We start from the raw sequence: 23,750 nt of genomic DNA on the forward strand, positions 1-23,750 counted from the left end.
AGGCTGAGACAGGAGAATCACTTGAACCTGGGAGGCAGAGGTTGCAGTGAGCTGAGATCGTGCCATGCACTCTAGCCTGGGCAACAGAGTGAGCCTCCATCTTAAAAGAAAAGAAAAGAAAACACCAGGCCAGGCATGGTGGCTCATGCCTGTAATCCCAGCACTTTGGGAGGCCGAGGCGAGCAGATCACCTGAGGTCAGGAGTTTGAGACCAGCCTTGCAAACATGGTGAAACCTCATCTCTACTAAAAATACAAAAAAATTAGCCAGGTGTGGTGGCAGGTGCCTGTAATCCCAGCTACTTGGGAGGCTGAGGCAGGAGAATCACTTGAATCTGGGAGACGGAGGTTGTGGTGAGCTGAGATCGCACCACTGCACTCCAGCCTGGGCAACAGTGTGAGACTCCATCTCATAAATAAATAAATAAATAAATAAGTAAAATACTGAAAGTGCATCTCAAACATGAAGAAACTATTTCATATAATATGTAGTTTTAAGTAACAGGAAGATTATTGCTTTATGCTCAGAAGTCATACCAACAACATTAGTTTGAGATGTAATTGTTTATTTACCTAACTTTGTATGTGCAAGGCACTATACTGGGGAAACAAACCAATAAGACTTAGTCATTACCCTCTGGGAGCCCCTTACTAATGGGAGATATGTAGACAATCACATTGCCATCTGGTAAGTGGTACAGCTTAGGGGAGAGGTGGATTAGCTTTGCTTAGAGGAATAAGGGAAAGCTTCACTAAGGAGATGGCTTGTAGGATGATGATTGCAGAATGATGAAGAGGTCATTGATGTTAGGTGGTATTCCCCAAGGAACAATAGTATATGGATACTCAGAGATGGATAGAATGTGGTTAAGGTGGCTTTGGGGAATGGTTAGCAGTTCAGAATCCCAAGATTATAGGGGTACATGGGGTTGGATGTAACAGGTATTGTGTTCTTGGAAAGATATGGAGTCTTGAATGATATGGTAATGATTTTGTGCCTCATCTTGTAGGGAGATAAAAACTACTAAAGGATTTTAGGCAGTGCATAGGCATGATGAGATGTGAAATTTTGCAACTAGTAGTAGGATTGAGGGTAGATAGAAGTGGACAGACTGGAAGCATGGACATCTTTTAGGTGATTGTTGCTAAGATACAGGCAGGAGATAAGAAGGCCTGACATGGCCATAGGTTTAAAGAAAGGAGGGAAGGCCAGGCACGGTGGCTCACGCCTGTAATCCCAGCACTTTGGGAGGCCAAGGCGGGTGGATCACCTGAGGTCAGGAGGTCAAGACCAGCCTGGGCCAACATGGTGAAACCCTGTCTCTACTGAAAATATAAAAATTAGCTGACTGTGGTGGCGGGCATATGTAATCCCAGCTACTTGGGAGGCTGAGGCTGAGGCAGGAGAATCGCTTGAACCTGGGAGGCAGAGGTTGCAGTGAGCTGAGATCACACCACTGCACTCCAGCCTGGGCGACAGAGTGAGACTTTGTCTTAAAAGAAAGGAGGGAAGGCAGCCGGGCGCGGTGGCTCACGCCTGTAATCCCAGCACTTTGGGAGGCCGAGGCGGGTGGATCATGAGGTCAGGAGATCGAGACCATCCTGGCTAACAAGGTGAAACCCCGTCTCTACTAAAAATACAAAAAATTAGCCGGGCGCGGTGGCGGGTGCCTGTAGTCCCAGCTACTCGGGAGGCTGAGGCAGGAGAATGGCGTGAACCCGGGAAGCGGAGCTTGCGGTGAGCCGAGATTGCGCCACTGCAGTCCGCAGTCCGGCCTGGGTGACAGAGCGAGACTCCGTCTCAAAAAAAAAAAAAAAAAAAGAAAGGAGGGAAGGCATTCAGAGACCACTTCTCTGAGGGAAGATTGATAGAACTTATTGGCTAATGGCTTAAGACAGAGAGAGGACAAGGATGATATAAAGATTTTAAAAATAAAGTGTATAATGCAAGATTAGTTTGGTATACATATAGCAGTATTGTCATTGCCCTTCAGGTGTAAGCTGTTCAGATGAAGATGAAAAACCCAGAAAACGAAGGCGAACAAACTCTTCCAGCTCCTCTCCTGTTGTTCTAAAGGAAGTTCCAAAGGCCGTTGTTCCAGTCTCAAAGACGATCACTGTGCCTGTGAGTGGTAGTCCCAAGATGAGCAACATCATGCAGAGCATTGCCAACTCCTTACCACCCCACATGTCTCCTGTAAAAATAACCTTCACTAAACCATCAACACAGACAACAAACACAACAACACAGAAGGTATGTGGTGGAGGGAGTCTCTGCCTGCCAATTGTTTCTTTCAGACAGTATGATTCAGATTTAATAAACATGCACTGAGTGCTTACTATGTGCTTGGCATTATGCTGGGGATGTTCACATCTTTTACTTTGTTTAATTTTCCAGATAAGGCTTTGGGATAGGTATTATTATTTCAGTTTTGCAGATGAGGCTTTGCGATGTTAAATGACTTGCATAATATGACACAGCCGAATCTCTTCTAAGAATTGTGCTCTATTTTATAGTTGTAATCCTATTTGGAAAAAATTTAAAATAGAAAAAAATTTTAACCTATATTTGTATGACCTTCCCTGTAGCAACTCAGGTTTTAATTTGCCAAAGTAGTAAAGTTGTCAGGTGTTTCATAGAAGAAAGGAAGGATATAATTAAGTGAATAACTTTTGTTATCTTCTTTTTAAATTCTTTGTATGCTGTTATTAATTCATTCCTAAACTCTTCTCTAAATATGTTGAAGTCATTATTATTTTGTCAGTTTCATGTTTTTAGACCCCTCTGTCTTCCCACACTGATCTGGATGGACCATAATGGCTCTCTAGGCTTGTTGTACACCTATATTTCTGGGATCTCTCTTTAACCATCATTCTGATCTTCTTTGTTAGTTTCTTTGCTTATTTTGCCAGAGCATATCCTCCAGTAGCTACCTGGTGTATGGGTGGATGGAAAGTAAATTTTTGGGGACCTTGCATGGTAGACTGCAAATTTCTTTATTCTACCTTCCCACTTTTTTTATGGTTTAACTAGGAAAAGTATTCTAGGTTGGAAGTGATTTTCCCTGTGAATTTTTGAAGATGTTGTTGCTCTGTTGGCTTCCGGCTTCCATTATTGATTTTGGGAAGTCCAGTACCATTCTAATTTCAGATACTGTTTTTCTCTTTACAAACTTTCAGTAACTTTCAGAATTCTGAAATTTCAAGGTAATGTTCCTTGGTGTGGGTCTTTATTTCATCGATTAGGTTGTATACTCAGTGGGCCCTTTTATTCTGAATATTTATGTCCTTCAATTCTGATACATTTCTTGAGTTATTTGATTTGTCTCTGTTTTCTCTTTTTGGATCACCTGTTATTTGCCTATTGAACTGCCTGGATTGATCCATTTATCTTTCTCATTTCCATTTTCCATTTGTTTGCATTGTTTTCCTACTCTAATATAATGGAAAAAGCCTGTATTTTGGAATTGGACTTCTTGGATTCAGATCCCAGCTTTTGCCACTTACTAGCTGCGTGACTGTGGGAAAACTAAACTCTCTACCCGAGTTTTCTCGTCTATAAAACAGAGAAAACAATGTATTTATTTTATAGGATTTTTGGGTGTAAATACATGAAATAATATATGAAAAATTGTTACAGCCTTGCACGTAGTAAATGTTCAGTATTTTTATTTTCTTTATCATTTAATTTTATTTTTCACTACATTTATAGAGTTTTTCATTTTTGCTCTCATACTTTAAATTTCTAGTAACTCTTTTTCTCTCAAAGTTCCTTTAAAAAAAAAAAAAGCATCCTACTCTTTCATAGAAGCATTGTATTCTCTTACCTAATGAGATTCATGACAATTTTTTAAATGTTTTCTTCTTTCATGTTCTCTCTGTAAGTTCCTTTTATCTATTTGTTTTGATCTCTTTTATTTAGTTTTCTTAAGTGTCTGGCTGTCTGCTTACGAATGAAAATAGGCACTAAAAAGGTGACAGAAAGCTCTGTGTGTATGGGTGGGACATGCTGACTGGTGACTTTCATCGTAAATTGACCTAGCTGGACTATTTTGTTCAGGAACATCCACTACCCCTTTACCTCCACCATTTGTCACTGTCTTTAGGGCTTTTGTTTGGACTGGTAGGATTGTTCAGAAATATCCCAGTCTCCTGCCTCGAGTAATATAAGCCTGGTTGGCAGTGTTTTGTTTGGGGGTTAAATAGAGGGAAAGGGCTGGGTGGGCTCACCATTCATGATATATATACTTTACTTATCTCCTCTGTTTTTAGCGTAGTACCTGGCCCCCCAGATGTGCCTGATGTCATTAGATTTCTTTGTCAATCTCCCTCATGACAGTAAATTCTTAGCCTTCCCTTAGGATGGGGGAGAATAGCTAGGGATCTAAATCGTTCTTAAACAGATTTTCAACTAATTTTCCTCTCTTCAGTTGCATGTTTATCCCCACTTCAGAAGTATCTGGTGTTCTCAATTCCTGAGTCTTTCTGGGGCTCACAAATGCAGGCTGCCTTATTTTTTGTTACTCTTTACTGCCTTAGGTTTTTACACTCTTAGATATGCTTAATCCATTCTTATTTGTCTGTTTTTCAGTTTCCAAACTTTATAGCTGTTGTCACCTTTTTGTTTTGACCTTATAGGTTTATGTGCCTTTTCCCTTTTAAAAAAAAATCCCTTCATGCTGTTTTAGAGGGATTTTGGGGAAGGACTGGAGGTAAATTCTGTGTTCGGTGTATGGTCTTTCAACCTTTGAATCTTTACTCCTGTGATAACTTCCCCTTAAAGAACCTCCTCGAGTTTCTTGCAAAGATGTCACTATATAATATATTAAAAATTATCATTATTAGTAACTAGAAGTGATAATGAGCTGATCTGTGGGATGTAATTCTATTTTCAGTCTGAAGATGAGGGATTATGGTATGGTATTAGAATCAAACAAAAACTTTGAGAGTCAAGAGTCCTGGGTTAGAACCCTAGTTCTTCTAGTATGACCTAAATAAATTAGTCTTTCTAAATCTGTTCACTCATTTATGAGATGAGAATGATGTCATCTTAGGACATTATTGCAAGGATTAAATGAGATTGGATATTTAAAGAGCAACATAAGGTATGTATTCAACAATTGTTAGTTCCTTCCCTTGCAGGTATTTTATGGAGTGTAGAGTTTTGTTTATTTACACTGTTGATTAATGAGCTGTTCCAAATAAATGAATTCATCAGTTCATTGAAGCATATCCCTTCATATATAGAAATTAACTATTTTTGATGACTTCTTAAGTTTTATACTGAGGATAATTTTTACATTTTTATTTGATGACTCCAAGATAATCTTTCTGAATGTCACTTTTTATATGCTATTATAGTTATTGCTTTCTAAGCTGGCCCTATATTAGGTGGCATCAGTCTGCTGTGCCCTGAATTTTTAAGTCTACTTACTATAACGCTTTTAACTGCCTTTGTTGCTGGATCTTATTTTCTCAGTAATTCTTCTCTCTTCCCTGCTTCTTGTCTAGTCTTTTAATTTAGTATTTGAGAAATAGTAAAGCAAAGCTGTAGCTAAAAGCGTACCTACCTCCCATCCATATCCTTCTATTCCTGTACTCTGTTTTATTGTTATTCATTATACTTACAACTAGTTGATATTATATTGCAAAGTTGTTTATCTTCTATTTCTCCCAGGGACTATAAGCTGCTAAGGGTAGAGACTTTGTCTTATTCTTCAATGTATTCCCTAGTATTTAGAATAGTACCTGGCATGTAGTAAGTGCTAATTAATATTTGTTGAATGAGTAAATTAATTAATGAATGAATAGAAGTATCTGGTTCCAATACTGGCTTAGCTACCTCCCTTGAGCCTGTTTCTTTGTAAAATAAAGATGATCATAGGCCGGGTGTGGTGGCTCACACCTGTAATCCCAACACTTTGGGAGGCTGAGGCAGGCGGATCACCTGAGGGTAGGAGTTCTGAGACCAGCCTGATCAACATGGAGAAACGCTGTCCCTACTAAAAATACAAAATTAGCCGGGCGTGGTGGCACATGCTACTCGGTAGGCTGAGGCAGGAGAATCGCTTGAACCCGGGAGACAGAGGTTGCAGTGAGCCAAGATTGTGCCATTGCACTCCAGCCTGGGCAGCAGGAGCTAAACTCCATCTCAAAAAAAAAAAACAAAAAAAAAAACTTAACGTAGTACATACAGTGAGTGCTCAGTAAATGTCACCTAACACTATTAACTTTTCAGTCTTCTTCGGTGGACTTAGCTAAAAATACGTGTAGTAGATGAGGACTCAGTGAAGTTTGTGAACTTTTTTTAAGTTCATTGACTTTACCATATATTTATTTTTATTTTTTTTCTTCTGAATTTTCAATTGAGAATGGATAGTTGAGGTTTTCAGACTTGGGATGTTTGAAAGAGGGCATATTTATCTCCCAAGTTATATATGAGCCATACCATGAGAGTTCAGGTTCAGAACCTTAGATTTGGCTTACTATGGTTAAAAAAAACAAATGTTTAAAACAAATTAAATTAAAAATAAGACTCATTCATTCCACAAATATTTATTGAGCACCTACTATGTTCCAGATGTAAAACTGTACTCTTTTACTTCTTGTGTACTCAATGCCATTACTTTTATTATTTTGTGGACAAGCTGATATGGGTAGGACTAATAAATGTTCTTGGAGTTTTATGTTTTTCTTTTGCTTGGGTAATTGGATTTTTCTGAAATCTATCCAAGGCTGTTGCCATTATTGCATTCACTTTGGATTTGTCACAAATCCTGTATAAGGCAACTTAGGAATTATTGTAGGTGAAGTGATTTTTATATTAAGTATAATTATTTATGAATTTGTGGACTTTATTCAAATTCAAATAGGTAATATATTTTCAGGGTAGACACATTTCCACCTGTGTTAATGTGGTGCCTTCATTTTAAATATAACATTGATGCAGCACTTATATATCAGAGCAGCAGAATTTAGCTTTATGCCTTCATGTGCTTGATTGATATTTTTCATTTTGTCCTTAGGGTGCAAGTCCCAGCACTCTTAAGGAGTTTTTGTGAGTGCTAGAAGGTCAGTAATTTGAATTATGGCCTGAATAAACACTGTTTGGTTCACTTGGTTTTAAACCCCTATACTTCCTCCTGTTGTAATGAGTAACTTTAAAGTACAAGTAGGTTTCCTCCAAGGTGGATCTCTAATGAAGGATAACTTCTTTTCAGATCAGAAATCATCTTGCAGGCTGAAATCTCAAAATAGATCTTATCATTTGTATCTGTAACCTAAAATATGCTCTTAAAGACTCTAGATTCATTTTGCTGAAGTTTTGTCTTAATGTTAAAGCCTACATGTATACTCTAATTCTGAAATTGCAAATATTTGGTACAAGTGTGAATGCTTCCCTTGCCCTTGCCCATGACAGACATTGCTAATTAACTGTGGCATACTTTCCTGCTAAGCCTTGGTGAATTCTTATCTGGGCCTCAAAGTCCTTATAAGCATTGTGCTCCAGGAAGCTACTACAATTAGTTCAGAACTGGCAAAAGTGAACCCTAATTGCCATTACTACTCTAATGGTTTGGCTGTGGCAGCAGCTGTGAATTCTTTGGATTCTCAGAGGTATCAGAATTTGGGAAAAAAATAAGAGAAGTTTTAAGTGAAACAAAGTATATTGAAATGCATTTTCAGATTGATTTGATGTATAATGCCTTTACTGATATCCTTTTCACATTTATTAAGTAGTAGTAATAAGCTACTAATAAGTACCATTTGTTGACTGCCAAATATTGACAACCTGCTGTGTGCCTAGCACTATGTCAGATGCTTAACATCATTATATCGTTTAATCCTTGTAATGACTTTGCAAGGTAGGTATTATTATCCCCATTTTATAGATGAAAATTGGAGCCCAGAGATTCCAACATGTCCAGGGGCCTGCCATTTTTAAGTGGCAGAGGCAGGATCTAAGTGCAGGTTCATTTAAGCTTGTGGTCTTTTTGCCATATTGGTCTACTTCTCAGCTTGTATCATGGTTGATTGTTGTTTTCTAATAATGCTATATAGGTATTTGCTGATCAAGTCTATCTATAAATATGCTGGTTGACTCTATATAGGTGTTTGCTGATCTTATGTATCTTTCTTGATGCCTCAAATAATTAACTAACAAACCCCTTAAAGTAATGGACAAGTACTTATATCTTGTAATTCTCTGTAACACTGGATAAGAACTCATATCTGGTAATTCTCTGTAACACTCAAAGTATATAATAACAATGTTATGGTCCGAGCTTCTTTGAGATGTAGGTCCTGAGTACAGATATATTCAGTAAATTTTGACTGACTCACTTCTGGCCTTCTTTAGAAGTGATATAAAAATGAAAAAGAATTTTCCCTTAAATTCTTTAGATTTTTCAAAACAGTTTTTCTTTTCTAGCTAGGTACAAATAATTTCATTTAAAGAGGAAGGAGATAATCTGCTCTTTTTTGGGTTTTACTATACCACCCCAGAATAAAAATGTGATACTACAGACTTCTAAATAATTTTTGTGTTCTCATTTGTAAAATGGGGATAATAATAGTACACGTATCATAGAATTGTTAGGAGATTTAAATAAGCCAATACATATTAGCCCTAGGAGCTATTCTTGATTCCGTTCTTTTCCTTAACCCTGCCATTTTCATTCATCAACAAATCCTATTCTCTCTACTTTTCAAAATAATCTGACTTTGATCACTTTTCTTTATTTCTACTACTAACACTCCGGTGCAGGCAGCCTCTATCATTTTCTGCTTGGTCTGATGCAATAGTTTAAGTGGTCTCACTGCTTCCCCTCTTGCCTCTTATCATGTAGCAGCTAGAGTGATCTTTTAAAATATACATCAAATTTTGTTTTTCTTCCTACTTAAAATATTCCTGTGGCTTTCTATTATACTTAGTATAAAAATCTAAATTCCACATTTGATGTAGCCTCTGCTTACTTTTCCAACTCCTCTTTGCCCTATGTGCTTTTTGCTACACTGCTTTCTTTTCTGTTTTTAAATTTATCAAGCTACTTCTGACATTAGTTCCTTTCCTTCATACTATTCTCTCTGTCTGGAATGATTTGTCACTAAATCATCTACAGTTTTCTAGTTATACTGGCAAAACCTTGACATCTCTTTCCTGCCTCTCTTTTTCTCCATTCTTCATATCAATATACAAGCAAATCCTGTTGGCTTTACCTTTGCAGTGTATTCAGAATCTGTTCACTTTTTACTTCTTCCACCACAAATACCTTGTTCACCATCATCCCTGCCTGGTTTGTTACAGGAGCTTCTTAATTTGTCTCCCTGTTTCTACCTTCATTGCCCTACTGTACTTTTTACCTAATAGGTAGAGTAATGATTTTTTAAAAAATGGACTTTATTTTTTAAAACAGTTTTAGATTTACAGAAAAATTGAGAAGATAGTACAGAGTTCTCATATACTCTGCACCCAGTTTTCTCATTCTCTTTGTTTTGTTTTTTACCAACTTCCTGATAAGTCTCCTTTATTCTGAACATTTTACATTGGTGTGATACATTGTTATAGCTAATAAAGACTATTAATGCATTAATGTTAATTAGATCCATGGTTTATTCATATTTCCTTGGTTTTTACCTATTGTCTTTTTCTGTTCCAGGATACCATATTATATTTAGTTGTTATTTCTCTTTAGGCTCCTACTGATTCCTCTTTACTGTGAAAGTTTCTCAGACTTTCCTTTTTTTTGATGACCTTGACAATTTTGAGGAGTACTGGTCAAGTATCTTGTAGATACCCCAACTGTTAGAATTTGTCTGATGTTCTTCTCATGATTAGACTATGATTATGGGTTTTTGGACAGAAGACCTCAGAGAGAAAGTACCTTTTTCATCACATCATATAAAGGGTATATACTGTCAACATGCTCTTACATGGTTTAGTCCTTCATTACTTCTCTGCAGTTGTCTACTACTACTTTGTACCCTATACATTTCTATCCCGTTCACTAGATCTTTGAAGTTTCTTGAACATACCAAGCTTGCTTCTGCTTTAGGGCCTTTGTATTTACTGCTCCCTGTGCTGATGGATGGTCTTCTGGGTAGCACCATGGTTCATATCCCTACTTCCTTCTGGTTTCTGTTCATATGTCACCTTACTGAGAGGTCTTTATTGAATACATTACTTAAAAAATCATACAGTGCTCCCATCATTCTTTATTCTCCTACCATACTTTTTTGTCTCTTCCATTTGTCTCTGCGTGACATATACTTACATTTCTGTTTATTTCTCTCCCACTACTAAAATGTAAGCTACTTGAAGGTATCAGCTTTGTTTCTTTTGTTCATTCTTCTATTCTCCAGCGTCTAGAACCATGCCTGGCACATAGTAGGTGCTCAATAAATATTTATAAACGAATGAATGTTTAAATTACTTTCTAGAAAGAGTGTGCCAATTTATACTCCCTAAGTAGTATGCTGAAATGTCTACTTTCCTGTATCTTATACAGCGTTGATGTTATCTTTTAAAATATTTGATTTGTAAAATTGTTGCTTATAAATGCATTTTGATGATTACTAGTAAAGGAAAATTTTAATATATTTTTAGTTGTATATTCTCTGTTGAATTGCTTCTTCGTTTTTCATAAGCTATTTTTAAATTATATATAACTAACTGTGAGTCTAGATACATTAGTAGTTTAGTAGGTACATAAAAATAACTTATTTTTTATTCCTTAGGTTATTATAGTCACCACATCACCAAGCTCAACCTTCGTGCCCAACATTCTCTCCAAATCCCATAACTATGCAGCAGTCACTAAGCTTGTACCAACGTCAGTCATTGCTTCTACAACCCAGAAGCCACCAGTTGTTATAACTGCTTCACAGTCCTCTCTGGTCAGTAATAGCAGCAGTGGCAGCAGCAGTTCTACACCATCACCTATTCCTAATACAGTTGCAGTAACAGCTGTGGTGTCCTCTACACCATCTGTGGTCATGTCAACAGTAGCACAAGGTGAGTGCTGTTTCACAATTTAATTCTGTCACAGTTGCTATATGGAATTTTGAAGAAAACTTGGTGGGTATGTTTCTCTGCTTTGGATATGAAGGTCCCTACTATTAGACCCAAGATCACCACCCCGTGTACCCCAGTTTGAGAATGTCAAGATGGTCGGTGATTCCATTTTCTTATATTAATATGCTTGCCCCAAGTTGTTTTGCACAATACCTAATTACCTGGGCTGCTAACATTCACAAAATGTAGGTTAAATCTCGTCACTATAAATTTCAAAGGGCTGTACAAATATCTTTAATATAATGAAATTTTTAAATGAGAAATTTGAAATTATATTACCATAGGTTCTTCAGAGGAAACATCAAGTACACATCCTCTTCAAAGTAAATGATAAGAGGTAGGAGGAAGAAGATGGTTTCAAGGATATGCCATTTGCTTTTTCTTCAGTCTCCTACATTTTTCTTTTCTTTTTTTTTTTCTCGTTGAGACAGGGTCTCGCTCTGTCACCCAGGCTGGAGTGCAGTGGAGCAATCTTGGCTCACTGCAACCTCCACCTCCCGGGCTTAAGTGATCCTCCCACCTCAGCCTTCTGAGTAGCTGGGACCACAGGCACACACCACCATACCCGGCTATTTTTTTTGTATTTTTGGTAGAGATGGGGTCTCACCATGTTGCCCAGGCTGGTCTGGAACTCCGGAGTTCAGACAATCCACCCGCCTCAGCTTCCCGAAGTGCTGGTATGACAGGCACGAGCCACTGTGCTCTGCTAGTCTCCTAAATTTTTCTGTATGGATAGATGATGGAAATATTAACTGAAGAGCAACTGAGACCTGAACTCAAGGGCAATTGCTGCTTAATAGCAGAGTAGGCCGGGCACAGTGGCTCACGCCTGTAATCCCAGCACTTTGGGAAGCGGAGGCAGGTGGATCACTTGAGGTCAGGAGTTCAAGACCAGCCTGGCCTGTAACATGGTGAAACCCTGTCTCTACTAAAAAAATACAAAAATTAGCCGGGCATGGTAATGCACACCTGTAATCCCGGCTACTCGGGAGGCTGAGGCAGGAGAATCGTTTGGATCACTTGAGGTCAGGAGTTCAAGACCAGCCTGGTGAACATGGCTGTACTAAAAAAATACAAAAATTAGCCGGGCATGGTAGTGCACACCTGTAATCCCAGCTACTCAGGAGGCTGAGGCAGGAGAATTGTTTGAACCCGGGAGGTGGAGATTGTAGTGAGCTGAGATCCAGTCCTGGTGACAGACCAAGACCCTGTCTCAAAAAAAAAAAAAAAAGCAAAGGAAAGGAAATATGGAAATCTGAGTTCCATTTTAGCTTAGTTTCTTAATACCTTTGTGTTCCTCCCATATGAAAGACAAGACAAATAGCATATCATCAGAAATGTCCTTTTTTTAGTGTTCGTAGGTCTTAAGAGAGTGATTAGAGGGAAGCATATATTATATAGAATTCATACCCATATTTATAGTCTGTCAAAGGGAGCTTGGAAACAATATAGAAGGGTACTTGGTATTAGTTTTCATTGAGTTTTATGTGAATAATATATAACTTAAGACAGATTGGGGCTTGGAAATATTCTAGTTTATGAACTAGGAGTGAATGCAAGCACTCAAGTAGGAAAACAGTGTCTTGATTGCTTTAATGATGTATTATGTATTTTATGTAACTGTTAGCAAGGAAGGGATTACATAGATATGGATGCAGTCAGTATTTCTTCACTCTGCAGCTGTTATAGTAGGATATGGGAGCATCTGTCATTATTTTCTAGTTCTGATACCCATTTAATGTCTCAATCAATGACAAGAAGTAGCAGTCTTCAAATTTCCTTTTATGTTACCTTAAGTAATTAAAAAAAATTCCAACATTTCTATTTATACAGCAGTGAATGAGAATATAGTCCTGTTAAATACAGAAATATATATTTTTTGAGATAGAGTCTCCCTCTGTCGCCCAGGCTAGAGTGCAGTGGCATGATCTTGGCTTCCTGCAACCTCCGCCTCCCGGGTTCAAGCAATTCTCCTGCCCCAGCCACCCCAGTAGCTGGGACCTCAGGTGTGTGCCACCACGCCTGGCTAATTTTTGTATTTCTAATAGAGGTGGTGTTTTGCCGTGTTGCCCAGGCTGATCTCGAACTCCTGGCCTCAAGAGATCCTCCCGCTTCAGCCTACCAAGGTGCTGGGATTACAGGTGTGCACCACCATGCCCGGCCTAAATATAAAAATAATTTTTATACAGAAAATTTGTTTAAAATGTTGGTTACAAACATGTTCCGAATTCACCATTTTATAATTTGAAGGTTGAGAGAAGGAAAGGCCACCTGACTCCTCACTCGACTGATCCGTGTATCAACACTAATATAAATTATCATCTGTTGATAGTTGTTTTTCTCTGCCAATACTCATCAAACAGTTTGCTGGTTTTACTGTATTAGAAAGATTACTGTTTTTCTAAGGTAGATGGTACTATTTGAGATGAGAGATATTTCTCTTGGTTACTAATAAAATATCTTGAAGCAAAATGAATATTCCAAGCTTCTAATTTTCATTCTTAATTTTCTCCAGGTAGCCACTGAATCTCTTAGGAACTTAGGACTTTCTTCATTTTCTCCTTTGCTTCTTAGCATTCTACATCTCTTTGAGCCTTAAGTAATTATAGGGGAGCTGGATGTGACATCTCAGAGATTTCTCTTAAAGTCACTGGAAGTTAATAGAGAATGAAGGATGTAAAAGTAAACTCTGAGTATAGATACTCAAGGAAACGATGTGATTATTTTGTTTCTGTTCGAGATATTTAATTTAGATGTTATTAGTACTAAGAAATCAAGGAATTTTATTTTTTTTAAACAAGGTAAATATTGATGGAAATGGTAACACAGACTGCGTTTGTGATTGTGCCTGCAGGACTTCTGTAGCAGCTCCTGTGTGGGTACATCAGGCAAGAGGGCATTCAGTGTCTCCTACTATGGACTAGAGACATATTGTTTTAGGGCTGATGTATCTCTGGTTGTGCCTGTAGGGATAGCTGGTTGTAGAGGGGAAAGGGTCTTAGCAGTAACTTGGTAAATGACTCCATGTTTGTAAGTGTAGTGATGGTCCACACTGCATTAATTGATGTAGTTATGTCTCTTTTAACTTAGCAGTCTTCTCTCTCTTTTGTCCTTGCAACTTACTTGTTGAAGAAATAACTAATTTTTCTGAGAGTTTCCCATAGTCTGGATTTTACTGATTTCATCTGTGTATTGTAGTTTAACAAGGTCTCCTGTTCAATGCATTTCCATAAAACTGGTAGCCAAATCTAGGAGCTTGATTAGATTCAAGTCTGATTGTTTTTGGAAATAGGAAGAATGAACATTTTATAAGTGGTGGTGTATGCTTCTTGTTGCATCGTTTTAAGAGACACATAATGTCTGTTTTTTCCCTTTAGTGATGTTAACATTGACTAGAGGATACAAGTGTTACCAAATGGTTTTAATAGCTATTGATAATCTTTGCCTAGATCTATTATTTTATTGGTTGTTGCAAAATGCATTTTATCTTTATTTTCATTTATTAGCTAGAATTCTTAAAGAAGTACTTTCCTTTATTATTATTGCTTACCCTGAGGTACAATTCATATGGGAAAAGCAGGATACATGCATGATTATTTCTCTTTATTTGTATGTTTTCAGATGAATTGGTTCATTGGCCAATAAGATTTTCACTCCCCATATTACTAAGATTTTTGATGTCTATCAATATATTGCAGATCTTCCTTCTGGTGCTCACATTGTTCCATCCTTGCCAGTGGGAGCCTCTTAGTTGGTTTCTAAATTCTTTTGACACAACTACATTAGTCTTTAATAGTGTCCTTGTTTTGTGGTATGTTGAGATGTTCCAGGTTCATCTTGTACATTTTCTCCCCTAGACTTGAAATTAGACATTTCTTCAGGGAGTCCTGGTTTCTTAGTGAAAAATGGTGTTTAGATACCACAATCTGGGCATTGTGGGGGTGGTCATTACTACTGTATTGGTCATTGTTTCTGCATTTTATTGGTGGATAGAGCTACAGTTCTTTTCTGTTTAAGAGGAAATATATCGTCGTTTCATACTGATATTACCAATTCCAATTTATAATTATGGGTTTTAACTTTTTCTATTTGTATGTTTGTATTTTTTTCTGTCCTGATGATTCAGGAAGGATCTTTAGGAATCAGAAAATCCTGATTCCTAATGATTAATAAAATTATACCTTTAATGTATTGTATAATACATAATAGTTTCAGAATAACAGAACCAATATGATTATTGAACATAAATTTTTATTGTAGTTATTTAGTTTTTAAGGGTATTCTAAGGATATACAATCAAATTACTGTATTTAAAAGTCACGTGAAATTCTTTTCTCTGTAGTCAAGCATTATAGGTTAATTTATTTCTGTTTTTTTTTTTGTTTTTGTTTTTTGTTTTTTTTGGATTGTCATTTTGAAAATTTTTGCTAAATTTTATTTATAATTATATAACATATTTATGTAGTTCCAAAATCAAATCCACAAAATCAGGTATGTTCTGAGAAGTCTGTTTATCTATGACTCCAACAGTCTGTTCTGTCCTCCCTGATAGGTAATCTTTTTAATTTTTATTTCTCCTTTCATTTTTTAGCATATAAGCAAATATGTATTTATTATATTTTACTTTTTTCTTAGATAAATGTAATATGTTATACAAACTGTTGTGCACTTTAATGTTTGGAAGGAGTAATTTTTAATTTGGTGGTTATAAGTCTGGTGCTGGTAATACAGAAAGAGGTAATAGCTGAAATGTGGTTTGTGTGTATAGAAGGAAATAGTTTATCTTAGATGACTGCTTCTTCATAGTTGATTCATCTTCCTTTTTCCTCCAGATTTTGTACTTAACAGACTAGAAGCTGTAATTAGCTTTTATTGTTATCTCTCAAATCCATTCTCAAATGGGCTATTATTTCTTAGATTGATTCCACTTTTTATTCTGCCTGTTTCTTAGATTAATTGTTGCTACTGTTTTTTTTCTTTTACTTTGGTGAGAAAAATTTGCTCTCATCTTGTTCTTTTTATGTTATTTTATGGATTTCATGAATTATTTACCCAATGTTGTGACACTCTTCTGCTGACCTTTTATTTTCCCTCCTTGACCCATCTTCAACCTAACAAGTTACTTCCAATTACGTTGTTTCCACAAATACTCCTGCTGTCTGCACTTTATATACTTTCTTTAGGCTGGCCCTGAATGCAGTTTCTGTTTTCCATTCCCATTTCACAAAATACCTTCCCTGTGAAATCCCCCCTTATCAGTTCAACATGGTTCCCATTTAGTATCTAAAAGCATTTAAAAGTTATTTAAAACCTAACAATATTAGTAGGTCAGATAGTTTAGGAGAACAATAGAGAACAAAGCGCTACCAGTAATCCCACCACTATACCACAATAGCACTTTCTATTTTCTATATTATTACCTTTTTACCCATGTGAATAATTTTTTTTTTTTTTTTTTTTTGAGACTGAGTCTCGCTCTGTTGCCCACGCTGGAGTGCAGTGGTGCGATCTTGGCTCACTGCAATCTCTGCCTCCCAGGTTCAAGCGATTCTCCTGCCTCAGCCTCCTGAGTAGCTGGGATACAGGCGCGTGCCACCATGCTCAGCAAATTTTTGTATTTTTAGTAGAGAAGGGGTTTCACCATCTTGGTCAGGCTGGCCTTGAACTCCTGACCTCATGATCCACCTGCTTCAGCCTCCCAAAGTGCTAGGCTTACAGGTGTGAGCCACCGCGCCCGGCCGTGAATAATATTTTTTACATATTTGGAATAAAAAGTTCATATTCTATTTGGTAGCATGCTTTCTTCATATATCGTTGCTTCGTTAACATTTTTCTATAAATATCCTAATTATTTTCAGAGCTGTTTAATATTTTTATTATTGTTGCATAATTTATTAAATTTATTATAATATATAATGTATAATAATTTATTAAATTATTCCCTTATTGTTGGGTATCCAGTGTGTTTCCAGGGTTTGATATTCTAGATTTAACTATAGTGAACATCTTTGTGAATTTAATTGAGCCTTCCATTTTCTTAGAACCAGCACTCAGGAGCAGGATTACCAAATAGAAGAATTGGAATTTTTTTGTAGAGTTTACTAAATACCGTATTTTGTCCCCATGAACTATATACCCTTTCAGAATATTTCATTAGTATCTGGCCACTATTAAGTCCTTATTCTTCTTGTTTTAAAAAAAAAATGGGGCAGAGGGAATAATTTTGGCGATTAAAGAAAAATTGAGTAGCATACTGCTTAACCAGTACAGTTTGATCATCCCTAATCCGAAAATCTGAAATCTGAAATGCTCTAAAATCTGAAGCTTTCTGAGTGCCAGCTGATGCCACAAGTGGACAATTCCACACCTGACTTCATGTGGTAAATTGTAATTAAAACACAGGTGCACACCACACAGTTTATTCAGCGTTCCCAAGGGAAAAAAGACTCCTTCTGCCTTCTGTAGCAGTGATATATCTTTTCCTTGTACACCCAGATTCCCCTCACACAAGCACTTCCACAGAGGGTAATAAAATGGCATGTATGCAGGCTGGATGCGCCAATAACAGGTTCCCCGCAATGCCCCACATGGGGCCAAGACCTATGTGCATCACTTACTGTGTTTTTTTGCTTATTTTCTGTTCTGTGGTGTAAAGATGTTGAAAATGTCCAAAAGGCCTGCAGATACCCCTGAGGGGTAATAGTGACAAGGACACAAAGAAGCACTTATGTTTATCTATAGCACAGAAAGACAAGCTGTTGGAGAAACTGGACAGTGGTGTTAAGTGTGCAGTGTGTTGCAGAAGAGTATGGTGTTGGAATGACTACCGTATATGACCTGAAGAAACAAAAGGATAAGCTATTGAAATTCTGTGCTGAAATCGTGAACAGAAGTTAATGAAAAATAGAAATACACTGCACAAAGCTAAAAATGAAGATTTCGATCACGTATTGAAAAAGTGGATCCATCAGCATTGGAGTGAACTCATGTCACTTAATGGTAATACTGGTCATGAAACAAGCAAAGATCTATCATGATGAACTAAAAATTGAAGGAAGCTGTGAATATTCAACAGGCCATTTGCAGAAATTTAAGAGGAGACACGACATTACAGTTTTAAAAATTTGTGGTGATAAAGCATTTGTTGATGATGAAGCAGCAAGAAGTTCATTGACAAGTTTGTCAAAGTCACCGCTGGTAACTATCTTATGCCAGAACAAGTCAGTAATGCTGATGAAACATCACTGTTTTGGTGTTAATGCCCCAGAAAGACACTGGCTATAGCAGATGAGACAGCTAATACAGGAATTAAGGATGCCAAGGACAGAATAACTGGGATGGGATGTGGTAATGTAGGAGGCACTCATAAGTGCTGTGATGGGCAAAAGCTTGCATTCTTGCTGTTTTTAAGGAGTGAATTTCTTACCAGTCTGTTATTATGGTAACAAAAAAGCATGTATTACTAGGGATATCTTTTCTGATTGGTTTCCAAACATCTTGTACCAGCAGCTTGTGCTCACTGCAGGGCAGCTGGACTGTGCAACGATGGCAAGATTTTATTTCTTGATGACTGTTCTCATCTTCCAGTTGAAATTCTCCTCAAAAATAATGTTTATGCCATGTACTTTCCCCCAGTGTGACTTTATTAATTCAGCCATGCGGCCAAGGTATCCTTAGACCAGTGAAGAGTTAATATAAAAATGCTTTCTTGGGGGAGTTGCTGGCAAGGTAGCCGAATAGGAACAGCTCTGGTCTGCAGCTCCCAGCGAGATCAACACAGAAGGCAGGTGATTTCTGCATTTCCAACTGAGGTACCTGGCTTATCTCACTGGGACTGGTTAGACAGTGGGTGTAGCCCATGGAGGGTGAGCCAAAGCAGGGTGGGGTGTTGCCTCACCCAGGAAGCACAAGGGGTTGGGAAACTCCCTCCCCTAGCCAAGGGAAGCCATGAGGGACCCTGCTGTGAGGGACAGTGCATTCAGGCCCAGATACTATGCTTTTCCCATGGTCTTTGCAACCCACAGACCAGGAGATTCCTTCGGGTGCCTATGCCACCAGGGCCCTAGGTTTGAAGCACAAAACTGGGTGGCCGTTTGGGCAGACACCGAGCTAGCTGCAGGAGGTCTTTTTGTTTTGTTTTGTTTTGATTTGTTTTGTTTTTGAGACAGAGTCTTTCTTTGTTGCCCAGGCTGGAGTGCCATGGCGCTATCTCGGCTCACTGCAAGCTCTGCCTCCCGGGTTCACACCATTCTCCTGCCTCAGCCTCTCGAATAGCTGGGACTACAGGCGCCCGCCACCACGCCCAGCTAATTTTTTGTATTTTTAGTAGAGACGGGGTTTCATCATGTTAGCCAGGATGGTCTCGATCTCCTGACCTTATGATCCGCCCACCTTGGCCTTCCAAAGTGCTGGTATTACAGGCATGAGCCACCACGCCCGGCCAGGAGTTTTTGTTTTTCATACCCTAGTGGCACCTGGAACACCAGCGAGACAGAACCATTCACTCCCCTGGAAAGGGAGCTGAAGCCAGGGAGCCAGGTGGTCTAGCTCAGCAAATCCCAACCCCATGGACGCCAGCAAGCTAAGATCAACTGGCTTGAAATTCTCGCTGCCAGCACAGCAGTCTGAAGTTAACCTGGGATGCTCAAGCTTGGTGGGGGGAGGGGTATCCACCATTACTTAGGCTTGAGTAGGTGGTTTTTCCCCTCAGAGTATAAAGAAAGCCACCAGGAAGTTCGAACTGGGCGGAGCCCACTGCAGCTCATCAAAGCTGCTGTAGCCAGACTGCCTCTCTAGATTCCTCCTCTCTGGGCAGGGCATCTCTGAAAGAAAGGCAGCAGCCCCAGTCAGGGGCTTATAGGTAAAACACCCATCTCCCTGGGACAGAGCACCTGGGGGAAGGGGCGGCTGTGGGCACAGCTTCAGCAGAGTTAAACGTTCCTGCCTGCCAGCTCTGAAGAGAGCAGCAGATCTCCCAGCACAACATTTGAGCTCTGCTAAGGGACAGACTGCCTCCTCAAGTGGGTTCCTGACCTCCATGCCTCCTGACTGGGAGACACCTCCCAGTAGGGGTTGATAGACACCTCATACAGGAGAGCTCTGGCTGGCATCTGGCAGGTGCCCCTCTGGGACAAAGCCTCCAGGGGAAGGAACAGGCAGCAATCTTTGCTGTTCTGCAGCCTCCACTGGTGATACCCAGGCAAACAGGGTCTGGAGTGGACCTCCAGCAAACTCCAGCAGACCTGCAGCAGAAGGGCCTGAGTGTTAGAAGGAAAACTAACAAGCAGAAAGGAATAGCATCAACATCAGCAAAAAGGATGTCCACACAGAAACCCCATCTAAAAGTCACCAACATCAAAGACCAAAGGTAGATAAATCCATGAAGATGAGGAAAAACCAGCGCAGAAAGGCTGAAAATTCCAAAAACCAGAATGCCTCTTCTCCTCCAAAGGATCATAACTCCTTGCCAGCAAGGGAACAAAACTGGACAGAGAATGAGTTTGATGAATTGACAGAAGTAGGCTTCAGAAGGTGGATATTAACAAACCTCCCCGAGCTAAGGGAACATGTTCTAACCAATGCAAGGAAGCTAAGACCCTTGAAAAGAGGTTAGGGGAATTGCTAATTAGAATAATTAGTTTAGAGAAAAACATAAATGACTTGATGGAGCTGAAAAACACAGCACAAGAACTTTGTGAAGCATACACAAGTATCAATAGCTGAATCAACTAAGCAGGAGAAAGGATATCAGAGATTGAAGATCAACGTAATGAAATGAAGTGTGAAGACAAGATTAGAGAAAAAAAGGATGAAAAGGAATGAACAAAGCCTCCAAGAAATATGGGACTATGTGAAAAGACCAAACCTGCGTTTGATTGGTTTACCTGAAAGTGACAGGGAGAATGGAATCAAGTTGGGAAACACTCTTCAGCATATTATCCAGGAGAACTTCCCCAACCTAGCAAGACAGGCCAACATTCAAATTCAGGAAATACAAAGAACACCACAAAGATACTCCTCGAGAAGAGCAACCCCAAGACACATAATCGTCAGATTCACCAAGGTTGGAATGAAGGAAAAAATGTTAAGGGCAGCCAGAGAGAAAGGTAGGGTTACCCACAAAGGGAAGCCCATCAGACTAACAGCGGATCTCTCTGCAGAAACCCTACAAGCCAGAAGAGAGTGGTGGCCAAAATTGAACATTCTTAAAGAAAAGAATTTTCAACCCAGAATTTCATATCCAGCTAAACTAAGCTTCATAAGTGAAGGAGAAATAAAATCCTTCACAGACAAGCAAATGCTGAGAGATTTTTGTCACCACCAGGCCTGCCTTACAAGAACTCCTGAAGGAAGCACTAAACATGGAAAGGAAAAACCAGTACCAGCCACTGCAAAAACATACCAAATTGTAAAGACCATTGACACTATGAAGAAACTGTATCAACTAATGGACAAAATAACCAGCTGGCATCATAATGACAGGATCAGATTCACACATAACAATATTAACCTTAAATGTAAACAGGCTAAATGCCCCAATTAAAAAACACAGACTAGTAAATTGGATAGAGAGTCAAGACCCATCGGTGTGCTGTATTCAGGAGACCCATCTCATGTGAAAGACACACATAGGCTCAAAATAAAGGGATGGAGGAATATTTACCAAGCAAATGGAAAGCAAAAAAAAGCAAGGATTGCAATCCTAGTATCTGATAAAACAGACTTTAAACCAACAAAGATCAAAGAAGACAAGGGCATTACATAATGGTAAAGAGATCAATGCAACAAGAAGAGCTAACTATCCTAAATATATATGCACCCAATACAGGAGCACCCAGATTAATAAAGCAAGTTCTTAGAGACCTACAAAGAGACTTAGACTCCCACACAATAATAGTGGGAGACTTTAACACCCCACTGTCAATATTAGAAAGATCAACGAGACAGAAAATTAACAAGGATATTCAGGACTTGAACTCAGCCTTGGACCAAGTGGACCTAATAGACATCTACAGAACTCTCCACCCCAAATCAACAGAATATACATTCTTCTCAGCACCACATCACACTTATTCTAAAACTGACCACATAATTGGAAGTAAAACACTTCTCAGCAAATGCAAAAGAACAGAAATCATAACAAACAGTCTCTCAGACCACGGGGCAATCAAATTATAACTCAGGATTAAGAAACTCACTCAAACCTGCACAACTACATGGAAACTGAACAACCTGCTCCTGAATGACTACTGGGTAAATAACGAAATTAAGGCAGAAATAAATAACTTCTTTGAAACCAATGAGAACAAAGACACAATGTACCAGAATCTCTGGGACACAGGTTAAAGCAGTGTTTAGAGGGAAATTTATAGCACTAAATGTCCACAGGAGAAAGCAGGAAAGATCTAAAATTGACACCCTAACATCACAATTAAAAGAACTAGAGAAGCAAGAGCAAACACATTCAAAAGCTAGCAGAAGTCAAGAAATAACTAAGATCAGAGCAGAACTGAAGGAGATAGAGATACGAAAAACCCTTCAAAAAATCAGTGAATCCAGGAGCTGGTTTTTTGAAAGGATTAACAAGATAGAAAGACTGCTAGCCAGTCTAATAAAGAAGAAAAGAGAGAAGAATCAAATAGACACAATAAAAAATGATAAAGAGAATATTACCACTGATCCCACAGAAATACGAACTACTATCAGAGAATACTATAAACACCTCTACGCAAATAAACTAGAAAATCTAGAAGGCCAGGCGCAGTGGCTCATGCCTGTAACCTGCACTTTGGGAGGCCAAGGCAGGCAGATCCCCTGAGGTCGGGAGTTCGAGACCAGCCTGACCAACATGGAGAAACCCCATCTCTACTAAAAATACAAAAAATTAGCCAGGCATGGTGGCACATGCCTGTAATCCCTGCTACTCGGGAGGCTGAGGCAGGAGAATTGCTTGAACCTGGGAGGTGGAGGTAGTGGAGATTGCGCCATTGCACACCCAGCCTGGGTAACAAGAGCAAAACTCCATCTCAAAAAAAAAAAAAAACCTAGAAGAAATGGATAAATTCCTGGACACATACACCCTCCCAGGACTAAACCAGGAAGAAGTCAAATCCCTGAATAGATCAATAACAAGTTGTGAAATTGAGGCAGTAATTAATAGTCTACCAACAAAAAAAGCCCGGGACCAGATGGATTCACAGCTGAATTCTACCAGAGGTACAAAGAGGAGCTGCTACCATTCCTTATGAAACTATTCCAAGCAATAGAAAAAGAGAGACTCCTTCCTAACTCATTTTATGAGGCCAGCATCATTCTGATACCAAAACCCAGCAGAGACACAACAACAAGAAAATTTCAGGCCAATATCCCTGATGAACATCAATGAAAAAATCCTCAATAAAATCCTGGGAAACTGAATCCAGCAGCACATCAAAAAGCTTATCCACCACGATCAAACTGGCTTCATCCCTGGGATGCAAGGCTGGTTCAACGTATGCAAATCAATAAACATAATCCATCACATAAACAGAGCCAATGACAAAAACCACATGCTTATCTCAATAGATACAGAAAAGGCCTTTGACAAAATTCAACACCCCTTCATGCTTGAAACTCTCAATAAACTAGGTATTGATGGAACGTACCTCAAAATAATAAGAGCTATTTATCACAAACCC

The 23,750-nt window shown here is 38.7% G+C and overlaps 1 protein-coding gene across 50 annotated transcripts in view; it reads left to right on the forward strand.

Annotated features, from left to right (window-relative positions):
* EMSY (EMSY transcriptional repressor, BRCA2 interacting) overlaps nt 1–23,750 on the forward strand; it is a 108,014-nt gene that overhangs the window by 16,810 nt on the left and 67,454 nt on the right. For all 50 annotated transcript variants that reach the window (XM_047427269.1, NM_001300942.2, XM_047427298.1 and 47 more), the window contains 2 exons: nt 1,994–2,253; nt 10,737–11,013. In XM_047427269.1, coding sequence (XP_047283225.1) covers nt 1,994–2,253; nt 10,737–11,013 — 537 coding nt within the window. The remainder of the gene's footprint in view (nt 1–1,993; nt 2,254–10,736; nt 11,014–23,750) is intronic.

The sequence above is a fragment of the Homo sapiens genome, chromosome 11 (assembly GCF_000001405.40).
Source record: "Homo sapiens chromosome 11, GRCh38.p14 Primary Assembly".
Taxonomy (NCBI): Eukaryota; Metazoa; Chordata; class Mammalia; order Primates; family Hominidae; genus Homo; species Homo sapiens.